Source organism: Homo sapiens, chromosome 2, assembly GCF_000001405.40.
Source record: "Homo sapiens chromosome 2, GRCh38.p14 Primary Assembly".
Taxonomy (NCBI): Eukaryota; Metazoa; Chordata; class Mammalia; order Primates; family Hominidae; genus Homo; species Homo sapiens.
The window spans coordinates 20,051,942-20,078,214 of NC_000002.12; the positions used below are offsets into that span (position 1 = coordinate 20,051,942).

Here is a 26,273-nt window from a genome sequence, read left to right on the forward strand (position 1 = left end):
AATGGAAAAAGGGAGACACGAGACAGCGCGGATGGCAGAAAGCGGGCACAAGGGGCTTTTCTGAGCAATGTGTGCCACGTACTGGATGGGAAGCGTCACAGGCTGATAACGTGACCTTTGCGCGCAGCTCAATTATTGCGCGGGCTGGGGGCGGGGCCTGCGGGGAAGGGACAGAGCCAAGCCCAGCCTTGAGCCATCCTCGCCCCTGTGGCGGAAATGGGAGGGTGCCTGGAGGAGTGGAGGGATTGGATTTACACCCTCTTTTCCCTCCGAAGCCTCCTTGGTGGGGGCGAAGAAAGACCATCCAACCCTGCCAAAGGCAAAAGGATTAAGGATAAATGAAAGCAAGATAATGTAGAAGAACTACTTAGCTGCTGGGTTTTTGGAGATGAGTGATTTTTTTTTGTAGGGAGAAATTATGAAACACATTGAAATGGACAAAAAATTACTGAATGTCTTCAATGAAAAAACAGCCATAGTTTGGCACACCGTCCCGGGCATTCTGTTGCTAGAGGGGCTGTCCGCTTTTCTTTGTGGTGCTCTGCACAACTCGGTAAGACCCCTCGTATTGTTATCTTACCCTTCCTTGGGAAAAGCCATTTTGCATCGATTTGTAAATTCATTCCCCAGTCCTGATTCAACAATATAGATGGGTGCTTTAAATTCTGCTTAGAGCTGGTTCTAACAGCTTACTGGTCCCCGGGTTAATGAGTAAATAAATTTTTTACACGTGTTCATTTTGTATTTCTGTGAGACCTGTGACTTCACCGTTAAAAAATGTATTTATCATTTAATGCTTTGGTAAACACACTTCTTTTCAGAGAATAGAAAGGGCTTCCCTTCTGCCAGGGCATATTCTTAGCCAGAGACCACACTGAATTCAGAGTAAAGGTTATTTCTTTGGCATGGCTTCTTTGAACACTGCCTGAAATTATGTATGTATTTGTTGATTATCTCCCCAATAAAATACAAATTTTAGGAGAGCAGAGACTATTCACCACTGAAGGAGTTGTCCATGGAGCTTATTTTCAAACCATCTGGGAAGCAGTAGTTAAGCCCGCCCACGCTAAAGGATGGGGTGTGGCTGGCTAACTCAGAATGAATTATGACATTTCTCTACTTATGTAGGGAGTAGATTATCTTAACCCCGCCCCACAATTTCGTATCCCTTATTTTGTTCTAGGCACAGATCCAATCACTTTATTTTCAATCATTTCATTCCTACAACTAACTGAGATAGGTACTCTTACGTTATTTAACTCTACAGAGAAGTTAAATTACATATCCAAGATTGCAAGGCCAGTGTCACAACTGAGATTAAAACCTGTTGTGCCAATAGTTTCCAAACTTTGCTGCACATTGGCATCACCTGAGGATCTTTACTAACCACTGATGCCTGCTTACTATTCCAGACCTTCTGATTTAACTGTCATGGGTGAGACCTGGGCATTGACATTTTTAAAATGTCAATTTTAAAATTAGGTGATCCTAATGTGCAGCACTGTTATTCTGTCTTGATATGAAATGTGGCAGACAGAAATAAATACAATACAATAAAAAAGAATACAAAGATAAGATCAGGGGAGCCGGGCGCGGTGGCTCACGCCTGTAATCCTAGCACTTTGGGAGGCTGAAGCAGGCGGATCACCTGAGGTCAGGAGTTCAAGACCAGACTGACCAACACGGAGAAACTCCGTCTCTACTAAAAATACAAAAAATTAGCTGGGCGTGGTGGCACATGCCTGTAATCCCAGCTACTTGGGAGGCTGAGGCAGGAGAATCACTTGAACCTGGGAGGTGGAGGTTGCGGTGAGCCGAGATCTCGCCATTGCACTCCAGCCTGGGCAACAAGAGCAAAACTCTGTCTCAAAAAAAAAAGAAAAAAAAAAAATCGGGAAATTATCCGATTTCTCTAAAAGCCAAAATGAATTCAAAATCAGGTGTACCTAACATGGCATCAGATCAGCTCGTAAGGGCTGTTCTCCCTGTACTGGGACTACCCCAGGCAAGGAACCAGGGAGGTGTAAATCATTAGAGACCTGCAACATAAACGCATCTGATAGCAATAATGTAAGCATACCCTGAGAATGACCCTGTATGGTAGATGCACCTGAATGTGTGCTCTGAGCTAGGGAATCTGGGAGTGGCCAACCTGGAGATTTGTTCTGTGTCTATGATAAACATCTTAAACCCCCACCCCCACCCACCGGCCCATCCATTGGAACATGGGCCATACAGGGGATTAGGGCCCTGAGTTTTGGGTTAAATGCAGGTTGCCAAGTGGAGGTCGTTAGTGGGAGGGTGTTCAGTGAAAATGCTGTATAAACTGCATGATGTTTACAGGCAGTTGCGGTTTTCCTGCCCTTGGGACGTGCAATTATGTTGTCCAGCCCGCTGCCAGAGGACAGCAGGAAGGGAGATGTGTTGTCCACCCCACTGCCACTGGACCACTTCTATACATAGCTGGTTCTTCTGTCCAGCCCGCTGCCACTGGACTCTTTCCCCTCTGTCACCACTGGACTGTAAGCTCCTAATACAAACCCATGTCTCATTTACTGGCTCTCCAGTCTCTTCTTGGCCTCTTGAACCTGGTACCTTCTCTATTGAGGTTAGTAGGAGTTTGGCACAACAATAGCATACATAACGGGATTAGAGGGGTGAAATACGGTTATGGAGTTTTGTCTAGATAATTTTTATCTAATATATACACCTTTTTTGAGAAAATTGTAAGGTACTATTGGCAAAACAACCCATCTTTTGGGGATGGGGAAAGGAAAGTTAACATTTTTAGGAGAAAATAGCTTAGGAAAACTCACAACGAAAGAAATTAGAGTGAGGTTGAAGCTCTTTAGCTAACATAGTTTAATCTATTTTTCTCTTTTAAATGTGTTAGTCTATTCACATTACTTTAACTTATTTTTATTGAGGATCTATTCTATTCCATGTGATGATACGAGAATGAACAACACAATATATACCTACTGTGTAGCCACAAAAATCTAAAATAAAAAAGGTATTAAAAGAAAGAACGAACAAGGCAGATATTGCACCTTTCCTGGAGTGTATATAGTCTACAGGGGAAAAAGTCAATGAGCATTTTCAGTCTTCATCCCATCTCCTAAAGCATTTACTTGTTGACTCTTCCTTAGAGCTAGAAATTCTTTCTTGGCTTCTGATTAACCATCCACTATTTTTTTCTGTGTACTTCTCAGGCAGCTCCTTCTTATTGTTCTTCGTAGTTCCCTCCTCTACTGTCCATCCCCCTAAATATTGGTGTTGTTGAGGGCTGTGTGTCAGGCTCTTTTCTCCTTTTATCTTTTCCCAGCTGTCACTTATTTACAAGATGATTTCCCCATGTATTCGTCCATTTTCACACTGCTATAAAGAACTACCTGAGACTGGGTAATTTATAAAGAAAAGAGGTTTAATTGATTCACAGTTCATCTTGATAGAAATAATTTAGCTTCCTGGCCAGGTATGTGGCTCACACCTGTAATCCCAGCATTTTGGGAGGCCAAGGTGGGCGGATCGCTTGAGTTCAGGAGTTCAAGACAAGCCTAGGCAGCATGGCAAAACCCCATCTATACAAAAAATACAAAAATTAGCTGGGCATGGTGGCTCATGTCTTTAGTCCCAGCTGCTCGGGAGGCTTGAGGCACAAGAATCACTTGAACCCAGAAGGCAGAGGTGAGCCAACATCGCACCACTTATTCTCCAGTCTAGGTGACAGAGTAAGACTCTGTCTCAAAAACAAAAACAAACAAAAAAAAGTCCCTAATTGTGTAAGTTTCTAGCCCCACAAAAGCCGATCCACTCCATGACCCATCCAAGAGGAAAGACCTAAAGATAATGGCATTGGTAGTTTTCCAACCCTTCAGATAGATTAAAGTGAAGCTCAAAGTTGACAAATCTCACCAATATCGTCAGAGTTTACAGCCAGTCTTTCAATTCCCCACTCCTAATGGAGAACAGATAATGTAGGGATACCAGGCTCTAAGTAAATCCCTCAGCATGGAAGACAGAGGCCAGACAATTGGAAAATAGGGTCTAGGAGAAAATGTCAAGAGAACTTAGAAAAGAAAAAAAAGACACTCTGAGCATACATCAAGAATAAGGTGCCATAACAATTATACAGGACAAAAAATTCTTAGAAATTAACAGCATGGGAGCAGAAATGAAAAACTCAAGATTGGAAAACAAAGTTGAGAAAGTTTCCCAGAAGCAAATCAAAAGACAAAGACATGTAAAATAAGAACGAATAAAATTAAAATTAGAGGATTAGTCCAAGATATCCAGTATCTGAATAATAGGAATTTCTGAAAGAGAGAGGAAGTCATCATCATAACAACATTTCCTAGATCTGAAAGAATGAATTTCCAAGACTGAAAATATCTGCTGAGTGACCATATTTTTGGAATAAAATAGATCCATGTAAAGGCACATCTGAGTGAAATTTCAAGACAGTGGGGACAAAGAGAAGATTCTATGAGCTTCAAAGAGAAGATTTCTATGAGCCATATAGAAAAATTCATAGTCAAATAGCCTTAGCCTTCTCAACAACTCTGGACTCTAGAACACAATAGAGATTTTATTTCAAAATTCTGCATAGAAAATGTTTACAATTTATAATTCTACACACAGCCAAACTGTCAAGTATAAGGATATAATAAACACATTTTCAGATAAGTCTCAAAAAATTTGCCTCCTAAACATCTTTTTCTCAGCCACCAGATGTTATGCTCCATCAAAATGAAATGAGTACATTAAAGAGGAAAATGTGGGATGCAGAAAACAGGATATCCAACATAAGTGAGATGTGGATGAAGACTCCAGAGAATAATAGAGATTTCAGTATGAAGACTGTACATTAGGTGTAGAGGTCAACCATTTCAGATTGGAGCACGATCATCATTTTTGCCTTCTGTAATTCTACTGAGTTTTTATCTTAATGAAGCTACTTGAGGATGTACTCCACCAAAAAAAAGGAGAAAACCAAGAGGAAGAGATGAGAACCAAAAAACCAGAAATCAAACTTAGGACAAAAGCCGAGGAAATTTCATAAGATGAAAGCAAAAGGAAGTCTCAGGATGACAGCTGTGCAGGGGGCCTAGGAAGCCACCAGTACTAATAGAAGAGAATGAAGGTATCAGGGAGCAAGAAAGAAATTAGCACTGATAGGCTACCTAATCGGGTAGATCTGGCAGGAAAACTACAATGAAAGGCATTGGGAAAGTGTGGCAAAACTGAGCAAATGACAAGCACAAAGAAAATTAAGCAATTTAGTAAACAAGGCAATTAGTATAAGTTCAAGAAAAACAAAAATTTAGAAAAGCAATGTAATCAGAGTGTACCACAGTGTGTAGCTGTGAATAGTAATTACATGGGCATAATCAAATAAACATTGAATATTGGGTATTTTATAAAACATTGAGATATGTATATTTTGGGAGGGTTAGGAGGAAGGGGAACAGATGACAGTCCAAGAGTGATCGGTCTTCATCTACCACAATGGAAGCCAATAATTAATGTCAAAAGTTGATTTATAGTCATTATGGAAAAACAGTATGGCAGTTTCTCAAAAAACTAAAAATAGAACTACCATATGACCCAGCAACCCCACTACTGGGTATTTATCCAAAGGGAAGGAAATTAGTATATTGAAGAGATACCTGCACCCTCATGTTCATTGCAGCTCTATTCACTATAGTCAAGACATGGAATATACTTAAGTTGGTGTACATCAACTTAAGTGTACATCAACTTAAGTGTACATCAACAGATGAATGGATAAGGAAAATGTATATACACAATCAAATACTATTCAGCCATAAAAAGAATGAAATCCTGTCAACTGAAGCAACATACCTGAACCTGGAGGACATTATGTTACGTGAAATAAATCAGGTACATAAAGATAAATACCACATGCTGTCACTCATATGTGGGAGCTGAAAATGGAGCTCACAGAGGTAGAGAGTAGAATAAAGATTATTAGAGACTGAGAAGAGAAGGAGGGAGAGGAGGATGGGGAGAGGCTGGTTAACAGATACAAAAGTACTGTACAGCTAGATAGGAGGAATAAATTCTAGTGTTCTGCAGCACTGTGAGGTGAATATAGTTACCAAAAATGTACTGCATATTTTCAATAATCTAGAAGAGAGGATTTTGAATGTGCACAACACAAAGAAATGATAAATATTCAAGGTGATAGATATGCTAACTTTCCTGATCTGATCATTGCTCATTACACACGTATCCAAATATTGCTCTGTATCCTGTGAATTTATATAATGGTGTCAACTAAAAATAAAATGGAAAAAAGTTAATTAATTAAAATATAGCAACGCTGGGCTCATGGCTAACACCTGTAATCCTAGCACTTTGGGAGGCCAAGGCAGGGGAACCGAACTAGCCGCTTTTTCATGGAGTACTATTTTGTTTTAAAGAACGACTGACAGGCAAATATTAATATTCAGACATGAGTATTTGGCAGTCATTTTCTTGAAAATGAATGAAGTAAGCCTGTCTGTCCCTTCAAGGAAAGCAACTAGAGTATTTGTGAGCAGTGATTAAACTAGAGCTTTCAAGAGGAAAATGAGAGATTTGGAAGAAATTGTGTCCACCACCATGAACTTGACAGTGATAATTCAAGACTTTTATGATGAGATTCGAGGTAAAATAAACTGATGTGATTTTTGTTTTTGTCTAATATTATCAACATTTGACTATCTGCATAATTAAATGAGCCATTTGCCAAAGAACCAAGGCATAATCTTATAAAATCATGCATAAATAAAAGAGCCAGTCAAATGCAAGATAGACCAATGATTTCTAATGTAACAGTTTGAAAAGTTTACTGGTAGGTTTCAGATTCCACACTGCAACTGACCTTTTAAGGAATTACCATTGACTATGTTTTCGTATAGAATCAAAAAAGAATAGCCACAATTATCTAAAAAGGCTCATAAAATACTCCTCACTTTTCCAACTACGTATCTATAAGACTGGATTTTCTTCTTATATTTCAACAAAAAACATATCGCAACAGATTGAGTTCAGAAGCAGATATGAGAATCCACATGTATCTATTCTATCTATTCTGTTTTATCCACATTTATTCTATCTATTCTATCAAGCAAAACATTAAGCAGATTTGCAAAATATTAAATAATGCCACTCTTCTTGCAAGCTTTTTTTATATTTTGAAAAATGTAGTTATTTTTTATAAAAATATGTTGTCTATATTAACCAATAATGGACTTATTGTTGTCATTTTAAAATCAATTTAGAAATATTTTTAAATTGTCTCTATTTTCCTTTCTAGTAAAGGATATATCAGTAGTTACCTTAGATAAACAAAAGCTCTTCATTGTCCTCTATAATTTTTAAGAGTATGAAGAGGTTTTAGACCAAAAAGTAAGTTTAGAAACCACTAACTTGAGCCTTCTGACTGCCCTTGTGGACAATGGTTACAAATATTCAGAATGTGACTCTAGGATACTAAGAGCTGCCACCTGAAGATTTTTTAATAGAGGCGAAAAGCAGATTTAGGATTTTCAAATTCTTTTTTCTTTTCATTAAAAAAAATTAAAATAGAGACGATGTCTCACTATGTTGCCCAGGCTGGTCTCGAACTCCTGATCTCAATTGATCCACCCACCTCAGCCTCCCAAGATGCTGGGATTACAGGCATGAGCCACCATGCCTGGCCTCAAAATTCTTAATACCATAGGTGTTAAGTCCATTCAGGCTGCTATAACAAATTACGATAAACCGAGCAGCTTATAAACAGCAGAAATTTATTTCTCATGGTTCTGGAGACTGGGAAGTCCAAGATCAAGGTGTCAGTAGATTTGGAGTCTGATCAGGGCCTGCTTTCCAGTTCACAGATGGCATCTTCTTGCTGTGTCCTCACATAGTTGAAGGGGTGAGGGGGTTTTTATATAAGGGCACTAATCCCATTCATGAGGGTTCCACCCTCATGATATAATCACCTCCCAAAGGATCCACCTCCTAATACCATCACCTTGGGGTTAGAATTTTAATTTTAATTTGGGAGGGACACAAACATTCAGACCATAGCACTGAGTTTAAACAATTCTCCATTAACTTCCATTTAGATTATTGGCTAATTAGTATTTGCTTAACAAAAAGCTCCTTGTCTGAATCTCAGTTTCTTCACCTGTAAAAGGGAAATAAGATTTCTTTCTTAATCAAGGTTTAATGTTCTTACTGTAATGAAAGCAGAAGGCAATCATGCCTTGAAATATTTCCACCACAATTTAATTATTCATCTCTAGTCCCTTGCAGGATTTCTTGTCTGCTGATATTGGTAATTATCTCCTCTAGTCAAATTAAATGTGTGGTTTTTATTTTTAATTGCTCCAGGGTATTAGAAGAATTAATTAGTAAGTGTTGGCCAACTACCTTGAAGATGAAAAGCACTATGTAATTATCACCATGGGAAAAGTGCTTTCCATGCGCTTTGCTGAATTCACTACTTAGGATTATGGGATTAAATGTTAACTTTAAGGACTTCTGGTGTGAATGTGGTAACATAGATTCAGCATCTTTCTTCTTTTTTTCTTTTTTAAATGCTACAAAAACAACAAAAAATGTAAACTTATCTTCAGCAAATTTGGGAGCAGATATAATCCATAGCCTTCAAAATATGAATCAGGGCTGCTGAGAGCAGCTAAGATTAGACAGAAGCCATATAGGAGAAACTGGCAAAGAGCTATGAGGTTCAAGTGGCAGCAGAATCCAGAAAGCATCAGTAAACATGATTCCTAAAGTGAGGGACTCACCATGTAGTGGAAATGTGTGGCATCTTGTCAATGGATTTCGGTGAGCAGACCTGGTGGCACCCAAGTCCTCCTGGAACCTGGTTTATTTCAGAGGAGGAGCAAAAAGATATTGGCTACACAATTTAAAAAGAGAAACCATCTGCATTGTTTTGCTAGGGCTACCATAGCAAAAGACCACAAACTGGGTGGCTTAAACAAGAAATGGATTATCTCATAGTTCTGGCAACCTTCCTGATGAAGGTGTTTGTCGAGTTCATTTCTTTTGAGGGGTGTGAGGAAGATCTGTTCCTTTCCTTTTGTGTAGCTTAAAAAGAGTATAGGTTTTTTTTTTGTCTTCAACTTTTATTGTAAGTTCTGGGGTACGTGTGCAGGATGTGCAGGTTTGTTACATAGGTCAATGTGTGCCGTGGTGGTTTGCTGCACAGATCAACCCATCGCCTAGGTATTAAGCCCATCATCCGTTAGCTATTCTTCCTGATGCTCTCCCTCCCCGCAATGCCCCCCGCCCCCAACAGGCCCCAGTGTGTGTTGTTTCCTCCCTGTGTCCATGTGTTCTCATTGCTTAGCTCCCACTTTAAGTGAGAACATGCTGTGTTTGGCTTTCTGTTCCTGTGTTAATTTGCTGAGGATAATGGCTTCCAGTTCCATCTCTGTCCCTGCAAAGGACATGATCTCATTAAAAGGAGTACATTTTAATCAAAGTATTTATTAGCATTGGATTCTAGACTTTCCTTTAAAAGAAGGGCAAACTAAAACACAGCTATAGACTCCAAGAAATGGGTATAATTTGGCTGTTTCTAAGTTAATCCAAGAAGTAAATGTAACTTCATAAAAGCTCAACATGACAAAACTTTCATAGTGAAAGTGGAGTCAGATTCCTCCGAGCTGTGATAGCCATTGCCATCTCATGAGATGGGAGGTGGATTCCGGGAAACCATCCAGGGAAGCTGGACTGATGTTTTAGTCCATGTGGGTTTCTATAGTGGAATACAATAGACCCGGTGACTAATAAACAACATTTACTTCTCACAGTTCCCTCTGGAAAGGCATCAGGGGAGGCATTTGGGAAAGCTGGCACTTTCCTTTTGCCCTTCACATCACATGATTGATTGGAAAAATGGGAAATGACAAGTGGCATCAACAAGCGGGGCAAAGAGCTAGCCCAGTCAACCTACGATGGGCCCCATTCAAGGGGCACAGAGGGACAGAGGGACAGAAGGCTGAAGACTGGCTGGCTGGGGTGCAGCGATGCTACAGAACGCCCCATGGGACTTGGCATGAATAGGAAGCGTGGCCAGGTCAGTGGGCCTCCCCTGTGATGCTCCTTTATCCAGCCCTTCACCAGGCCTGTCCCTGGGTCTCATGCCCTCTGCCATTGGCTAGAAAACTCAGCCAGTGACTGCCACCTGAGAAAGGAAGAAGAGGGATGTGGGCATAGAACAGCCACCCTCCTTGCCCTGCCCTGCCCAGCCCAGCCCACTGGGATCTGCTCTTCCTCTGAGCTCCCCAGCCTGGGCCATGGTGGTGCACAACTGCAGAGGGCACCATTCACATTCCCTGTGCGGGCAGAGTCCACGCCTGCTGCTGGGCAAGAGCACATCCGGCTGGTTTTATTCAGTATCTGGGTGTGAGTTTGTCTTACTACCTTGGCTAGACCAAACTCCTGGAGGGATGGGACATGTTTCTAAATCTTTTTATATACCAAACCACCTAACACTAGCCCAGCTTGATAAATCTTTGCTGATGGATGGGCAACCCAGACATGGAGTCATCTGCCCTGAATTGCAGAAAACCGGGCCATTGAAGCTCACAAGAACACGTATTCTAGAGAGCTCTGCAAACCTGCTTCTGCCCAGCTTTGGCATCTGGGGTTAGCATTAGCCGTTTAGAAATGTGACCTTTTATGACACAGGGCATCTCCCAGCAGTTGCATGATGTGACCAGGGTGGCTTTCTGCCTCTGCTACTTGTGTCAGTTTCTTCCTCCCTAAAAGGGTTCAGTAATGAGTGGGGATTTCATGAGCCATAGGCAGAACTGACTCTGCAGAGCTCGGAGTGGGGTTTGGATTAACCACAGTCATCACCACTGTTTATGCAGCTTTGCAGCCAGCCAAGGCTCAAATTTCTCCCAGAGGCCCACAATATTTCTCTGTGTGATTCTTTTGAAGCATGAGGCCTCAAACCCATACTTAAATACTTCTCCTCTAACGTAAGCTTTGGCGTAGCTAGATGATACTTCACTGAGCCTCCCAAGCCTGCCTACCTTCCATCTGGCCACTAACACTCAGTAAGAAAACTTTGAGCACTTTCAGACACTTTCAGGGTAGACTTGTCTAAGTGCTGGGCTGCCCTGCTGGAATCAACTGGAAATGAATGTTAAAAAAAAAAAAAGAAAGAAAAAAAAGAAAGAAAGAAAAACATTGAAATAAGAAAGAAAAACATTGAAATGAGAAATAGAGGATATGGTTTGGCTGTGTCCCCACCCAAAACTCATCTTGAATTCCCACGTGCTATGGGAGGGACCCGGTGGGAGGTAATTGAATCATGGGGGCGGGGCTTTCCCATGCTATTCTCATCATAGTGAGTAAGTCTCATGAGATCTGATGGTTTTATAAAGGGGAGTTTCCCTGCACAAGCTCTCTTCTCTTGTCTGCTGCCATGTGAGACTGCCTTTTACCTTCTGCCACGATTGTGAGGCCTCCCCAGCCAGGTGGAACTGAAAGTCGATTAAACCTCTTCTGTAAATTGCCCAGTCTCGGGTATGTCTTTATCAGCAGCGTGATAACAAACTAATACAGAGGACTAGAATTTTTAGTCATTAGCTTGTGGGATGGCCATGAACAGATTATTTCTCTGTGCTCCATGTTGCCATTTGTAAAATACAGGAGAGGAACAGGAGGAGGGTGTCCCTGCCCCACTGCCCACAGGATACCTGTCCTGAGCCATATGTCCCTCTGGGGGTAAGAACTGGGGAGGGCGGGATGGGGGAGGCGTGTGCAGAGCCTCCAGCTTTTTCCTGGCTGAGGCTGAGGTGTCACCTGTGGACACAGGTCAGAGGTAGTTAGGTTTTTCAGTGTAGAGACTGAGCTTGGAATTGTTCTCACAGCACAGTCTCCAAGCCCTCTGGTTCCTAAACTAATTACCCAGATTAATGAATTGATTCTTTGATTCCAAGAACACTTTGTGGCAAAAACATGAATTCAAAATGTCTGGGGGTTAGAGAGGCAGCTTTTGTATGTATGTATGTATGTATGTATGTATGTATGTATGTATGCATGTATGTATGTATGTATTTTGAAACGGAGTCTTGCTCTGTCGCCAGGCTGAAGTGCAGTGGCACGATCTTGGCTCACTGCAACCTCTGCCTCCCGGATTCAAGCGATTCTCCTGGAGAGGCAGCTTTTAGTGTCTCTAGCTTGTTAGGAGAGCAGGAGGGCTGCGCGGGCAGAGGGCATTGAGCACTTTGCCAGGAGGTGTGGGTCTGAGTTCAGTTCCAGTTCCACCCTCAACTCACAGAGTGAGCTTGAGTCAGTTCTTCCGCCTCTTAGGGCCTCAGTCTCCCCATCTGTGCAATGCAGGGGTAGACTAGGGAAGCCCCAGGCTCACTTCCAGGTCTGAGGTTTGAGGATCTTCTCCATTAGGCTGTTTTCTTTCCTTCCTCATCCCCTCAGTCTTCTAATTTTTTCCCCAGTCTTGCAGATGGGAGACCAATATTCTTTTTCTGGTTGATCTTGGCTATTTCATTGATGCAGGCCATAGGTTTCCTAATGGACAATGAGAGAGTTTGACTAGGAGTGTCTACAGGTTCACCCAGTTCTGGGGCTCTGGGCTTCCTGAAATTCCATGGTATAAAGGTGTACAGCCGGGTGGTGCCTGACGGTCTGGGCTGGGGGCCCTCCCTTCACCCCTTCATTGTAGGGGACTTACCTTCACCCTTACATCATAGGGAACTTACCTTTCAGGTGCCCCAGTTGCTGCCTCACCTACTGATCCACCAGATTTCTCAAGAGGGCCTTGGAAATGGCTTAGACAGAGGCCCATAGGCGGAATCTGTTGTGATGGCTTTTTAAAGTATCACCCTGATTGAGTAGCAGTCTCCATTTATTCAATTAAACACTAATCTAAGTGTTGCTGTGAAGGTATTTTGTAGACATGATTAAAGTCCATTATCAGTTGATTTAAGTAAAATGGATTATTCTAGATCATCTGGGGCATATAATTTCTTCTTCCCTGTAGAAGAAGAAACTCTACCTGTAACAGCAGCTTCAGCCACACCCCAAAGTCCCAGCCTGCCCTTCCCTGAGGCCTGCCCTTCCCTGAGGCCTGCCCTAGGAATTTCAGACTCACCCAGCCAGCCCCCACAACTGTGGAAGCCAATTTCTTGCAAGAATCTCTTAGTGCATACCTCTTACTGGTTCTGTTTCTCTGGTTGAACCCTGACCAATATACTGTTGGATCAGACATAGTGGGTAAGGCACACCTCTGGTCTGATCCTTAGGCTCCGTATTATTTCTGAAAAATATGAAACACATCTCCCTAGTTCTCTAGTCCAGGCTGTAATGATCTTGACCATATGTGTCAAACATTTCCTAACTGAGCGGAATACATTTGCCCCTACTATCCCTGCCACATTCAGGACAAGGTCAAATGAGGCTTCTGAGTGATTTTGCCTTCGGTGGGTTTTTAATACCTCACAAGTACTTGATCTTGGGATTCTTTGTACACTGAGTTTACCCCACATTGCTTTTAATGGTAGGATCTTCTAAATACTTACTACTGAGAGTGAAATATTCTACCACCCCTCACCATTCAATTTAATAGCTACTGCTGAACATCTAAAATCAAGACAAATAACCAAGCATAACCAAGTTTGTGAGTCTCCAGGGAACTTAAAGATCCTGTGTGTGTAAGCGACAGCAACCCTGCACAATAGGAGAGTGGGCAGAGTCCTGGGCTGAAAAGGGGATCTCAGCGAGTGAAATCAAAGAAACCAGAATCCTTGGCGTTTTTGTTTTCAAGATCTCAGCTTTTCAGCATCTCTCTCTTCATCCTAAAAATAGATTTGCCAAACACCCGGACTATAATGTTTAAAAATAATAAATAATGCAGTTTCCATTGACATTTGTCCCTACTGGGTGCACAGATGATGGGCACGATATGTTAACCTCTGGTGTTTAGCTCATAAAATGGAGAATATTGTCCTCTGAAGTCCAAGAGAAGCATAACAAGCCCAGCAGACCCTTCTGCCAGGGGTTGAGGAACTAGATGTGGGCTGGTTGGGGAAGGAGGGAGTTCCAGACACCAAGAACAATGGATGTCAGTGACAACTACATAGAAGAGGTCAAAGTCTGCCCTAGTCTTCTGCTTCCGGACAATCCCAGGCCACCAAGTTTGGGGCTTGCTGAATTACAGAGAGCATGAGAATCTGGAAGAGGCCCCAGCCTCTCTGGCATGCAGCCATGAAAGAGGGCTGGGCCAGCGTGTTGGGGAACTGGCTCGGCCCTTGCCTGCAGAGTGTAGCTTTCCTCTCTTCTCTCGGTGCATCCATTTTCTTCTGGCCTCTGACCTGTGCTGACAGTAAGAGCTTCATAAAGCCGCTTTCTGTTGCTCATCCCAGCACCCAGCCCTGGACCTGGGCAGCTGCCAAGGGCCTGTATGGGCCTGGCAGGTGGGCATTTGCCCAGGCTGCCAAGTGGTGAGGAGTGCCCAGCCTCTTTGCTGGCATCTTGCCAAGCACTGTGGTACTGACTCATCTTTCTCTTTCACAGCTTAGGGCCAGGCAAGAAGCATTCAGTTCAGATCAGGGAAGAGCATGGGGCCCTTGGACATCCTCAGGTATCTTGCAGAGTGAGCCTCTTCTCTGGAGACTTTGCAGCAGGTCCTAGCTTTGCCTGCTCTACCCATCATGGTAACCACAGCCTGGTGTGTCTGGAAAACTGCTAGTTCAGCATGGTGCAGCTCGGATGGCCTTGGGGTGTGGTGGGCCATGAAACTGAAGGGCAGTGTGGGAGTCGGGGGCACACTCACAATATAAATTTGCAACTGGGACGATATTTTGGAAAAATATTAATGTGCTTTTTCTCTTTTACTTTTCTGAATATCTGACATTCTCTCTATCTGCCTAAGGCATTCATTTACATGGAGAGATTAAGATTGTTCTAAAATACTTACCAAAACAACAAAAACATTATTATTCACCTTTTGACTTTCAAAATAAGAGTTTTATAGTTTTTTGATATATAATTGAAATACAATAAACTGAATATATTGAAAGTGTACAATCTGATGAGTTTCAACGTAAGTGAAATGGCCATCACAATCAAAATAATGAACATATCCTCACCTCCAAAAGTTTCCTGGCTCCCCAACTCGGTTCTCAGGCAAGCACTGATTTGCTCTCTGTTACTACAGATTAATTTGCATTTTCTAGAATTTTATATAAGTGGAATCATACAGTATTTACACATTTTGTCTGGTTTCTTTCACTCTGCATAATTATTTTCAGACTCATTTTTATTGCTGCAGGAATTGATAGTTCCCTCCTTTTTATTGCTGTGTAAAATTCCATTGTATGATACAGTGCAATTTGTTTATTTACCAGTTGATGGGCCTTTGGTTGTTTCCAGTTTTTGGCTGCTACAAATAAAGCTGCTATGAACGTTTGTGTGCATGTCTTTGTGCGGACATATGCTTTCATTTCTCTTGGGAAAATACCTAGGAGTGTAATGTCGGTGTCACCTCATAGATGTATTTTTATTGTTTTAAGAAATTGGCTGTTCCAAAAAGTAGTTGCACCATTTTATACTCCCACTAACAGGGTGAGTTCCAGTTGCTCCATATCTTCACCAACACTTAATATGGCCAGTCTATACTTTTAACCATTCTAGTAGGTGCATATAAGGTAATATGGTTTGGATCTGTGTCCCTGCCCAAATCTCATGTTGAATTGTAGTGTTGGAAGTGGGGCCTACTGGGAAATGATTGGATCATGGGGCTGGTTTCCAACGGTTTAGCACCATCTCCTTGGTGCTGTCTTGTGATAGAGTTCTCGTGAGGTCTAGTTGTTTAAAAGTGTGTAGCACCTCCCCCTGCTTCCTCCTGCTCCAGCCATGTAAGATGTGCCTGCTTCCCCTTTGCCTTCCGCCATGATTGTAAGTTTCCTGAGGCCTCTCCAGGAGCAGATGCTGCCATGCTTCCTGTACAGCCTGCAGAATTGTCAGCCAATTAAACATAGTTTCTTTATAAATTACTCAATCTCAGGCATTTCTTTATAGTAATGCGAGAATGGACTAATACATAAGGATAGCTTATTTTGATTGCAATTTGCACTTTCCTAGTGACTAATGACACTAAGATTTGTAGCAAGACATACCCAAGCTAGCCTGGCTATTGCTTGGAGGGATTTTCTAAATTCCTTTGTACTGAAGCAAAATAACACAGTGGTTAAAATATGGGCTTGGCGCGTGCATGATGACATATTTATTCATTGCAGCATTGTTTGTAATAGCAGGAAAATGAAAAAACCTGTGTCCATTAATGGACTATGTCAGATAGACTATGGTGTTATATTAGTCAGGATTTTTCAGAGAAACAGTGAAAGTGTGTATGTGTGTGTTGTGTATTTTTGAAGAAATTTATTTTAAGAGATTGGCTCACATGATTGTGGAAGTTTGCCAAGCCAAAAATCTAATGGGGGAGGCCAGTGGGCTGGAAATGCAGGAAACAGTTGCAGTTTGACTTTAAAGGCACTGAGCCTGGAGATACATGAAAGAGCTGATATTGCAATTCAAGTCTGAAAGCAGTCTGTGGCAGAATTCCCTCTTAATTGGGGAAGGTCAACTTTTTGTTCTACTGAGACCTTCAAGTAATTGGATGAGGCCCATTTGTGTTGTGAAAGGCAATCTACCTACTCAGAGTTCACTGATTTAAATGTAAGTTTCATCCAAAAGCATCTTCACAGAAACATCCAAAATAATGTCTGACCAAGTAGCTGGGCATTCTGTGGCCCAGCCAAGTTGACATAAAAATAACCAGGGCAGGCCAGGCACAGTGGCTCACACCTGTAATCCCAGCACTTTGGGAGGCCAAGGCAGGTGGATCACAAGGTCAAGAGATCGAGACCATCCTAGCCAACATGGTGAAACCCCATCTTTACTAAAAATACAAAAATTAGCCAGGTGTGGTAGCACATGCCTGTAATCTCAGCTACTTGGGAGGCTGAGACAGGAGAATCGCTTGAACCCGAGAGGCAGAGGTTGCAGTGAGCCGTGATTGCACCACTGCACTCCAGCCTGGTGACAGAGCGAGACTCTGTCTCAAAATAAATAAATAAAACAAAAAATAACCGGGGCTGGGCATGGTGGCTTATGCCTGTAATCCCAGCACTTTGGGAGGCCAAGGCAGGCAGATCACAAGGTCAGGAGATCGAGACCAGCCTGACCAACATGGTGACACCCCATCTCTACTAAAAATACAAAAAATTAGCCAGGCGTGGTGGTATGCACCTGTAACCCCAGCTACTCAGGAGGCTAAGGCAGGAGAATCACTTGAACCCAGGAGGCAAAGGTTGCAGTGAGCCACGAACCTGCCACTGCACTCCAGCCTGGGCAAAAGAGAGAAGCTCCATCTCAAAATAAATAAATAAATAAATAAATAAATAAATAAATAAATAACCATCATGGGTATGAGTGGAACACTATGCAGCCATTAAAAAGAAAAGTAGCTCTGCTAGGCACGGTGGCTCACGCCTGTAATCCCAGCACTTTGGGAGGCCGAGGTGGGTGGATCACCTGATGTGAGGAGTTCAAGACCAGCCTGGCCAACATGGTGAAACCCATCTCTACTAAAAACACAAAAATTAGCCAGGCATGGTGGCTGGTGCCTGTAATTCCAGCTACTTGGGAGGCTGAGGCAGGAGATTCGCTTGAACCTGGGAGGTGGAGGTTGCAGTGAGCTGAGATTGTGCCACTGCACTCCAGCCTGGGAGATAGAGCAAGATTTCATCTCAAAAAAAAAAGAAAGGTAGCTCTAAATGTACTAAGAACATAATATATATCTCCAAGATAAATTATTATTAAAAAAGCCAGATATAGAACAGTATATAAAATATGCTACCATTAAAAAATTTTTTTTAAATAATACAGTCATGCATTGCTTAATGATGGGCATACATTCTGAGAAATGTGTCATTAGGCAATTTCATTGTTGCATGAACATCATAGGATATACTTACACAAACTTAGATGGTGTAACCTACTACACACCTGGCTATATAGTATAGACTATGCTCCTAGGCTATAAACCCATACAGCATGTTACTGTACTGAATACTGTAGGCAACTGTAACATAATAGTAAGTATTTGTGTATCTAAACATAGCTAAACATAGAAAAGGTACAGTAAAAATATGGTATAAAAGACAAAAGATGCTACATCTGCATAGGACACTTAACATGGATGGAGGTTACAAGATGAAAGTTGCTCTGGGTGTCAGTGAGAGAGTGCTGAGTGAATGGGAAAGTCTAGGACATTATGCCACTGTAGACTTTATAAACACTGTACGCCAGCAGACCCCAACCTTCCTGGCACCAAGGACCAGTTTCGTGAAAGACAATTTTTCCACGGACAGGGGTGGGGTGATGGTTTGGGGATGAAACTGTTCCACCTCAGATCATCAGGCATTAGTTAGATTCTCATAAGGAGATAACAACAACAACAAAAAAGAAACAAACAAATATTCTCATAAGGAGTGCACAACCTAGATCCCTCGCATGCACAGTTCACAACAGGGTTCGTGTTCCTATGAGAACCTAATTCTCCTGCTGATATGACAGGAGGCGGAGCTCAGACAGTCATGCTTGCTCGCCTGCCACTCACCTTCTGCTGCATGGCCCGGTTCCTGACAGGCCATGGACCAGTACTGGTCTGAGACCCAGGGGTTGAGGACCCCTGCTGTACACTATACTAAATTTATAAAAAACAATTATGTTATAATGTTATGACAGCTACGATGTCATGAGGATAGGAATTTTTCAGCTCCATTATAATCTCATGGGATCACTGGTGTATATGTGGTATATCATTGACTAAAACATCACTATGCATTTGTGTATATAAACGACTATATATGGAATTATCATGGTTGTAAGAAAATGGTATAGGAGCTGGGCGCAGTGGCTCATGCCTGTAATACCAGCACTTTGGTAGGCTAAGGTGGGCAGATCACGAGGTCAGGAGTTCGAGGCCAGCCTGGCCAACATGGTGAAACCCCATCTCTACTAAAAAACAAAACAAAACAAACAAACAAACAAAAACCAAAAATTAGTCGGGTGTGGTGGCAGGTGCCTATAACCCCAGCTACTTGGGAGGCTGAGGCAGGAGAATCACTTGAAACCGGAAGGCGAAGGTTGCAGTGAGCTGAGATCACACCCCTGTACTCCAGCCTGGGCGAAAGAGCAAAACTCTGTCTCACAGGAAAAAAAAAAAGAAAGAAAGAAAAGAAAATGGTATGGGAAACTGAGAGGCTAGGGAATAGGGAAGAATGGCAGCTTATTTTTTCTTTCACTCTCTACTTTTTGTGTTTTTAAAATTTTATGGCATATGCAGAAGAAACCTTGGCTTTACATCCCAGCTCCATCGGCTAGAGATGTATCCCAGCCTTCCCGCTTCAGGGCTGCAGGCACAGGAGTGGCCGTTTTAGAGCGAAAGCCATAGCAAGTGGGGGTGGACAGGGATGGAGGCCAGAGATGTGCTCCTGAGTGGCCTGGACAGGATCCAGGAGTACGGTTCACCCGTTTGTAGTGGTGTGGACGGCCTGTGCCAGGGACCAGGAAAGATAGGGCTGGAGCTCCAAGGGGCACGGAGGGGCTGTGAGAGCCAGAAGGGGGCTGAGTCAGCCAAGCAGCACCACTGGCTCCACCACACAGAGCTTTTTCTTTGCAGTGAAGTCTGGGCCGCTCACTTTTTAGCCCCAGGCTGGGGAAGATGACATAGGTTCCCAGACGGTGAGCCTCACCCAGTGAAATTTCTTTCTGGCTGCAGGGTACATGCAGACCTGACCTTTTGGGTTTGCAGATCTGTGTGGAAAGATAACCTTCTCACAGGAGGCTTGCAAAGGAAATCCCTGCAAATGAGGACAGGTAATAATACCTTTGCTTTCCCAGTTCTTTAAGACTCTGACTCCACAATAACAGGGCTTTGCTTCCAAAAAAAAAAGGCCAACATGTGTTGCAATTTCAGCCAACATATGTTGCAAACTCAGGCTCAGCATCTGGTAGTAGTTAAGGGCAGGCTGACATTCACTGTGTAATTCAAATTCCTCCAGCCCTTTGTCCTCTTTCCCAGGCTCCTAGCAGCCTCCTCCCCTTCTCCCACTTCCCCTGACTTTCCCCCAAACTCTAGACGGACTTGTTCCTCTGCTTCCCAGTCTCACCAGGACCACCCCACCCACTCCTTTGGAGGTTGTTTTCAAAGCAGTGAGCAGAAAGAATCCAAGGCCACATGCCACTCACTCACTCAACCCGGGGCACGTTGTAAGGGACTGGGTTTCTGTTTGTTTTGTTGGCGTTTCTTGTTTTGGGAGTCGGAGGGAGTAGAAAGGGAAGGGAAATTATTTAGTGGATTTTTTTTTCCTTCTTTTCCTTTTCTTTCTTTCCAGAAAACTAGCATTTCATAGTTCAGGACCCAGTGAACAATCAACTGCTGACTCTCACCAATATCAAAGGGAAAAAGTTAGTAAAGGAGTTCGTCCCACTGCTCTAGCTGTCTAAAAATGTAACAGGCTTCCCCTTCCCCAACATAACCTGTAACTAAAATCTTGTTTATTTTCTGAACTTTTCAAAGAGGTTTAAGTACATTTTTGTGTATTTTTGAGAAAAGCACAGCTTATCCTATCACTGTCTTGCATCATATTTTTAAGTACCACATTACAAAAGACAAATATCACCAAGGCCCCTTAGAGCGTCCAAGATATAAAACTGCCGATGGACTGGCCACAGTGCCTCATCCCTGTAATTCCAATGCTTTGGGAGACCAAGGTGAAAGGATTGCTTGAGGCCAGGAGTTTGAGACCAGCCTGGGCAACATAGCGAGACGCTGTCTCTACAAAAAATAATTTTTTTTAATTGGCTAGGCATGGTGGCTCATACATGTAGTCTCAGCTACTTGGGAGGCTGAGGCAGGAGGATTGCTTGAGCCCAGGAGTTTGAGGCTGCAATGAACTATGATCATGCCACTGCACTCCAGCCTGGGAAACAAAGTGAGTCCTTGTTTCTGAAAAAAATAAACTGCCAATGGTGGCTTGTATGCTTGTATACCTGCCACCCTCACGTAAAAGAGGAGCAGTCCGCAAGATGGTCCCCCTCAATGCCATACCCCCTTCCAGAGCTTTCCCTCTTAAGGCAGAAATGGTGTCTGCTGTACATTCTGGTCTGGTATGTGGGCATATGCCCCTAGTTTCCAATTCAGACTGAAATTATTTACACCACATGCTCAAGCTGAAAGGATTACCCAAGGCGTGATCCTTGAGTGCCTCTGTCCCCACATCTCCCACCTCCCTCAGCATGCACTACTTCCAAAATATGCTTTACAACTGTCCCCTCTCTCCATCTCCACTGCCACCTCTCTAATCCTAGCTACCATCCTCTGTCACTTGGAATATGCAATACCTCCCTACCTTATCCCTCTGCTTTTCCTTGTGTAGAAAAAGTCATTGAAAAGTTCTGTCTGTACCTTTTTCTTCTTTGGTTCACTCTCCCATCCCTCCCATCATTTTTCAAGCAGGTAGACAGACTTGATAATCCCATGTTTCTAGAATTCTAGAAAGGCTATAAGGCAGCCTAACAACATCTCAGCTTTTGCAGAAGCCTGAATCAGAGATGACTTTTGGCGAGGTGTCCTGGGGGGTGTGGGGAGAGAGTGTGTGTGTCTGGACACAGCAGCAAGGACAGAGATGAGATTTTTTCTAGATTGAGAATAGAGGGAGTTCCTTAATCCCCGAGAGCAGGGAGGAGCCCAGTCAAGGTTCCAAGGAAGAGGCCTTAGGAGGTGCCCAGATCAGAGAGCTTGGCAGGCTGAGGTGCTAAGGTGAGGCAGGAAATTAAAGAAAAATAAAATTAAGAAGAAAGAGAAATAAGTTTTCCTGTATTGGGCTGACTTGTCCCAGAGGCAGCAACAGGCACAGCCCAGACCCAGGAAAAGTCTTGATAATATTATCTAATGTGCTCTGGAGACTCTCCCAGCCCTCCCTCAACATAGGGAAAAGAAAGACAAAATTTCCTTTGTTTTATGGAATGAGTTTATAGATTGCTGTTCTCTGTAACTAGTGACTTCAAGTATTCTGTTTTATCTAAGAAGTACAACGAAGGTCATTAGAAGCCTGAGTAGACCTGAACTACAGCTGCCTGGGCACCATAGTGAAGGTTATAAGATAAGCCCGTGCCCAGGCAAACCTAGATAACGGACATCTGGGTTGCTTGGCAACGGTCATGTGCAATCCTGTATTTGTCCTGCCTCTGTGTCCCTGCTTTCACACCACCGTAAGCTTGCTTCAAGCTAGCCCACCCCCTTTTGTGAAGTGTGTATAAAAGTCAGGTGCTGTCTTTGTTCTGGGCCCAGTCTTTTGGATGTGAGTCAGCTGGGCCTGAGTGCACTCAATAAAGATTCTCCTGTTTCAACGTGAGGTCTCTCTCGTCCTCCTGAGTCCCACAACAAAGGAAGCGGACTTTACCTGCAGAGAGTCACTAAAGGGGGCATGCTAGTCTTGGACAGTCAGAGCACCTGTTATAATCATGCCAACTAGAGGCCCTCACCATGTTTCATGAGTGTCAAATAAGGATTCCCTTGTGATCCTGAAAGGAAAAGTGGTCTCAAATATGACGTTTCAGGAAGGGAGGGGCTTAAGGCAAAATTAGGCTGAGCTACTGGAAATAAAGTGGTGTTTCCTGAAGACCTAAATGTGGACCAGGATTTATACTCACTATTCACTTAAGGTGACCAGTGGTCCCAGTTTGCTTAGAACTAAGAGATTTCTCAGGACATAGGACTTTCAATGCTAAAATTGAGAATGTTCTAGGCAATCTGGGATGAATTGTTTACCCTATTTAAAGTTCTTTCTACAAAATGATAAACTTACAAATGAAGTCAGGTCATAACTGTCTCTTACCATGGCCTTGGGGCTCCGTGGTGATCCGGATCCTGCCTCGTACTTCATCCAGCTCTGCCCGGTTCCTTCCTATCCAGCCACCCTGCCTCCATCCTGCCTTCAGCCGACCTAGTTTATTCCTGTCTCTTAACCTATCACCTGTGATTCCTTCTGCCTGCACCACCTTCACCCTTTTCTCCTGCTCTTTCCCAAGGTCACCTCCCTTCCCTCCTGCAGAGGTCAGCTCAGAGAAACGATCCCACACCTTCCTCTCTGAAATCGCTTCCTCCACCTCAGCCCCAGTCTCTCTCTGGCTGCCATAACCCTCTGTAATTTACTCGTGGTACTGATCTCATGTGTGAATTAGCTTGATTGTGCACTTGTCTCTTTTCCCCTTAGCATGGAAGCTCCAGGAGGGAACCCTGTCCTAGACTCTGGCTCAGGGGTTTACACAAAGTCGGTGTTCAACAGTTGTTGCCTGGCTGATTGCAAAAAAGGCTTTGTTTTTTTCTCTGTTCTTTTTCTTATTTTACTAAAAAAAAAAAAAGCAGTAAGTAAGCAGGTTAAATTTTTTCAAGATTAACCCTTATTTTGGTGGAGAAAAAAAAATCATTTGGCCTGGTTAGTGCTGGGGTTTAGTAGAGTAACCTTTGTTTTCTTCTTCTTGATGAACATTGTGGCCCATTTCCCTTTCAAAATTTTCTTTCTAGTCTCTATAACAAAGAACTAGTCACAGGTAAGACACGAGAGAAAAAAAGGAAAGAAAAACCAAGTGGTGGGGCAGACAGCACAATGTAAGATGGCTAAAAACAAGTCCAAATATATCAAAAACCACAATAAATTTAATTTTTCTTAGTTTTCCTTTTCAAGGATCAAGGCTACCAGTTTGGTTAAAAAATTCAGCCATATGCTGTTTCCATGGGACACACCAAGATCATAAGAACATGGAAAATTTGAAAATCAAAAAATGGGAAAACAGATCAGGCAAATGGCAACCACAAGAAAGTTGACATCAGAAAAAAATATTTTTAATTTATTATTTAAAAAGAAATTTTTTTGAGACAGGGTCTCACTTTTGTCACTCAGGCTGGAGTGCAGTGGTGTGATCTCGGCTCACTCCAACCTCCATCTCCTGGGCTCAAGCGATCCTCCTGCTTCAACCCCGCAAGTAACTGGGACTACAGGCACACGCCATCATGCCTGGCTAATTTTTGTATTTTTTGTAGAGACAGGGTCTTGCCATGTCACTCAGGCTGGTCTCGCACTCCTGAGCTCAAGCAATCCTCCTGCCTTGGCCTTCCAAAGTGCTAAGATTACTAGCACGAGCCTCCACACCCAGTCTAAAATAGATTTTTAAGACAAAAACATTACCAGGGATAAAGAGGATAACATAATGGCAAAAGGTTCAATTCACTGGGAAGATGTAACAACTGCAAAGCCGTATAGCATCTGTTTAAATAGCCTCAAAATGAGAGACCTCCAGAGACTGACAGCAGCAAACATATTTCCACAAGGGCACCTCCCAACACTCCTGGGTTCCGTTAGCACAGAATGAGTGCTAGTTCTTTGGCAACCCAAGATTAAGCCCTGTGGCCGCAGTGAAAAGAATCCCAGGAGAAAACTCAGAAATAAAATGGAAGAAGTAAGACTTCAGGTTGAAATCACTAGAAACCCCCAGGAAGTAAAGGAGGAAAATGAAACCGAGGAACCAGAAAAACTATCCAACAAGTTCATTAATACTTGGAGTGACCAGGAGATCCACAGTTTCCTAAAAGAATCTCTTAAATTTGAAGAAATCTCTTGAAGAGTCGAGGAAGAATCATGAACAGTCTAAAGTGATTGTCCAGCATCTCAAGCAGACGGGTACACAGTGGAGCTGGCACGTGACAAGTTTGCAGGACTTTTACTGGACTACTCATGAGGCCAACCTGAGGCCAAGGAGCCAGTGCCAGCCCTGTCCTGATGGAGAGGCCCTACACGGGATTCTGGGATACAGATGGAAGGATGTCTTTTCAGTTCCTCCCTCTGCAGATGCAATTGTTCTTCCAACTGCCTAGTACCAGCCCGGGGCCTGTGCCATCCCTGTTCACTTTGAGGTGCTGCTGTGGGCTCCCTCACCCACGAACTGCATGTGGGATCGTTGGGTGCCCAGATAAGAACCCTGAAACATGAGCCCCCCACGGTCAGCCCCATGCTTGTTTCCTGACTTCTTCCCTGCAGCCTGCAGCCTGCAGCCTCTAGCAGCATTGGCCACCCTCTTCTGATTCTGATCCAGATTCTGAACTGAGAGACAATTAGAATCTGGATCCCAATTCCCTCTGAAAGCAACAGAATAACATGATCTATACACGGATGCATGACACTTTGCCAAGCCCAATGTAATGAGAATAAAGTGTGAATAAAATAAATGGCTTCAAAATACAAAAAGCAAAGATGAAAAAATTACAGGGAGAAATCCATAATAGTGAGAGATTTGGCATGCCTCCATCATATATTAATACATCAAGCACAAAAGAAAATAGATTTGAGAAAATTAATGGATGTGATTTAACATACATACATAGTATTGGGAGATCATTCTTCACTAGTCTTTCATACTTCTGCACATCTTGTGAGTGCAGCTTTTGTTCTGGATTATCTGTTCAAGTATGTACAATGAATAGCCTTGGACTATAGAGACAGTGCCTCCCTCTGGAGTGAACAGCAAGTTTGTTCACCGCCCAGTCTAATAAAGACACTGCCTCCCTCTAGGTCAAAGTTTGAGGAGGTTTGTTTGCAGCTCATTACAAAAAACTGGAACTTCCTAGTCTTGAGGTTTCTCAGCTGTGAAACGCACACACTGCATCCACCTGGGCCTCTTCGTATTAGCCTCATGGGACTTACAGGGCGAGGAGAATCCACACAAGCATGAAGCTCATGCTGCTTGCTATGCTAGGGGTGAGTAATAAATCCTTTGTCTCTGATCCAGGAGTCTCATGTCTTCTGTCAGTATATATGAAACTGTGGCAAGCTAAGTTACTAGATTGCAAGTGTGATCAAATATCAGACCCTTCACAGTTCTTGACACATTGAAGGTTGCACCCAGCAGTAGACAATATACCATCTTCTTATGCACTGCATGGAGCAGACACTAATTACCCAGCACAATGCCTGCCACGTGAGAGACACCGAGTAAATGTCAGTTCTCATTTCTCTCCAGCACTCCTGTTCTTCTTATTTCCTTGAGCACTCAGCAGCCTCAGGGAAGGAATGAAGCAGGTAAACAGAAATCCGAGGCTAGTGTTAAAACAGTCTGGGCAATGGTTCTGTCCATCCTAGCATAAAATA

General features: G+C 43.0%; 1 long non-coding RNA gene across 2 annotated transcripts in view; it reads left to right on the forward strand.

The window, feature by feature from the left end:
• The first annotated feature begins 195 nt into the window (after positions 1–195).
• Positions 196–26,273, forward strand: part of LAPTM4A-DT (LAPTM4A divergent transcript) — a 65,743-nt gene continuing 39,665 nt past the window's right edge. The window contains exons 1-2 of one of the 2 annotated variants that reach the window (NR_187142.1): positions 196–553; positions 9,840–10,105. This is a non-coding gene — a long non-coding RNA (LAPTM4A divergent transcript). Of the gene's footprint in view, positions 554–2,343; positions 2,556–9,839; positions 10,106–26,273 lie in introns of those variants that run through there. The other variant, NR_187143.1, reaches the window with a different exon arrangement.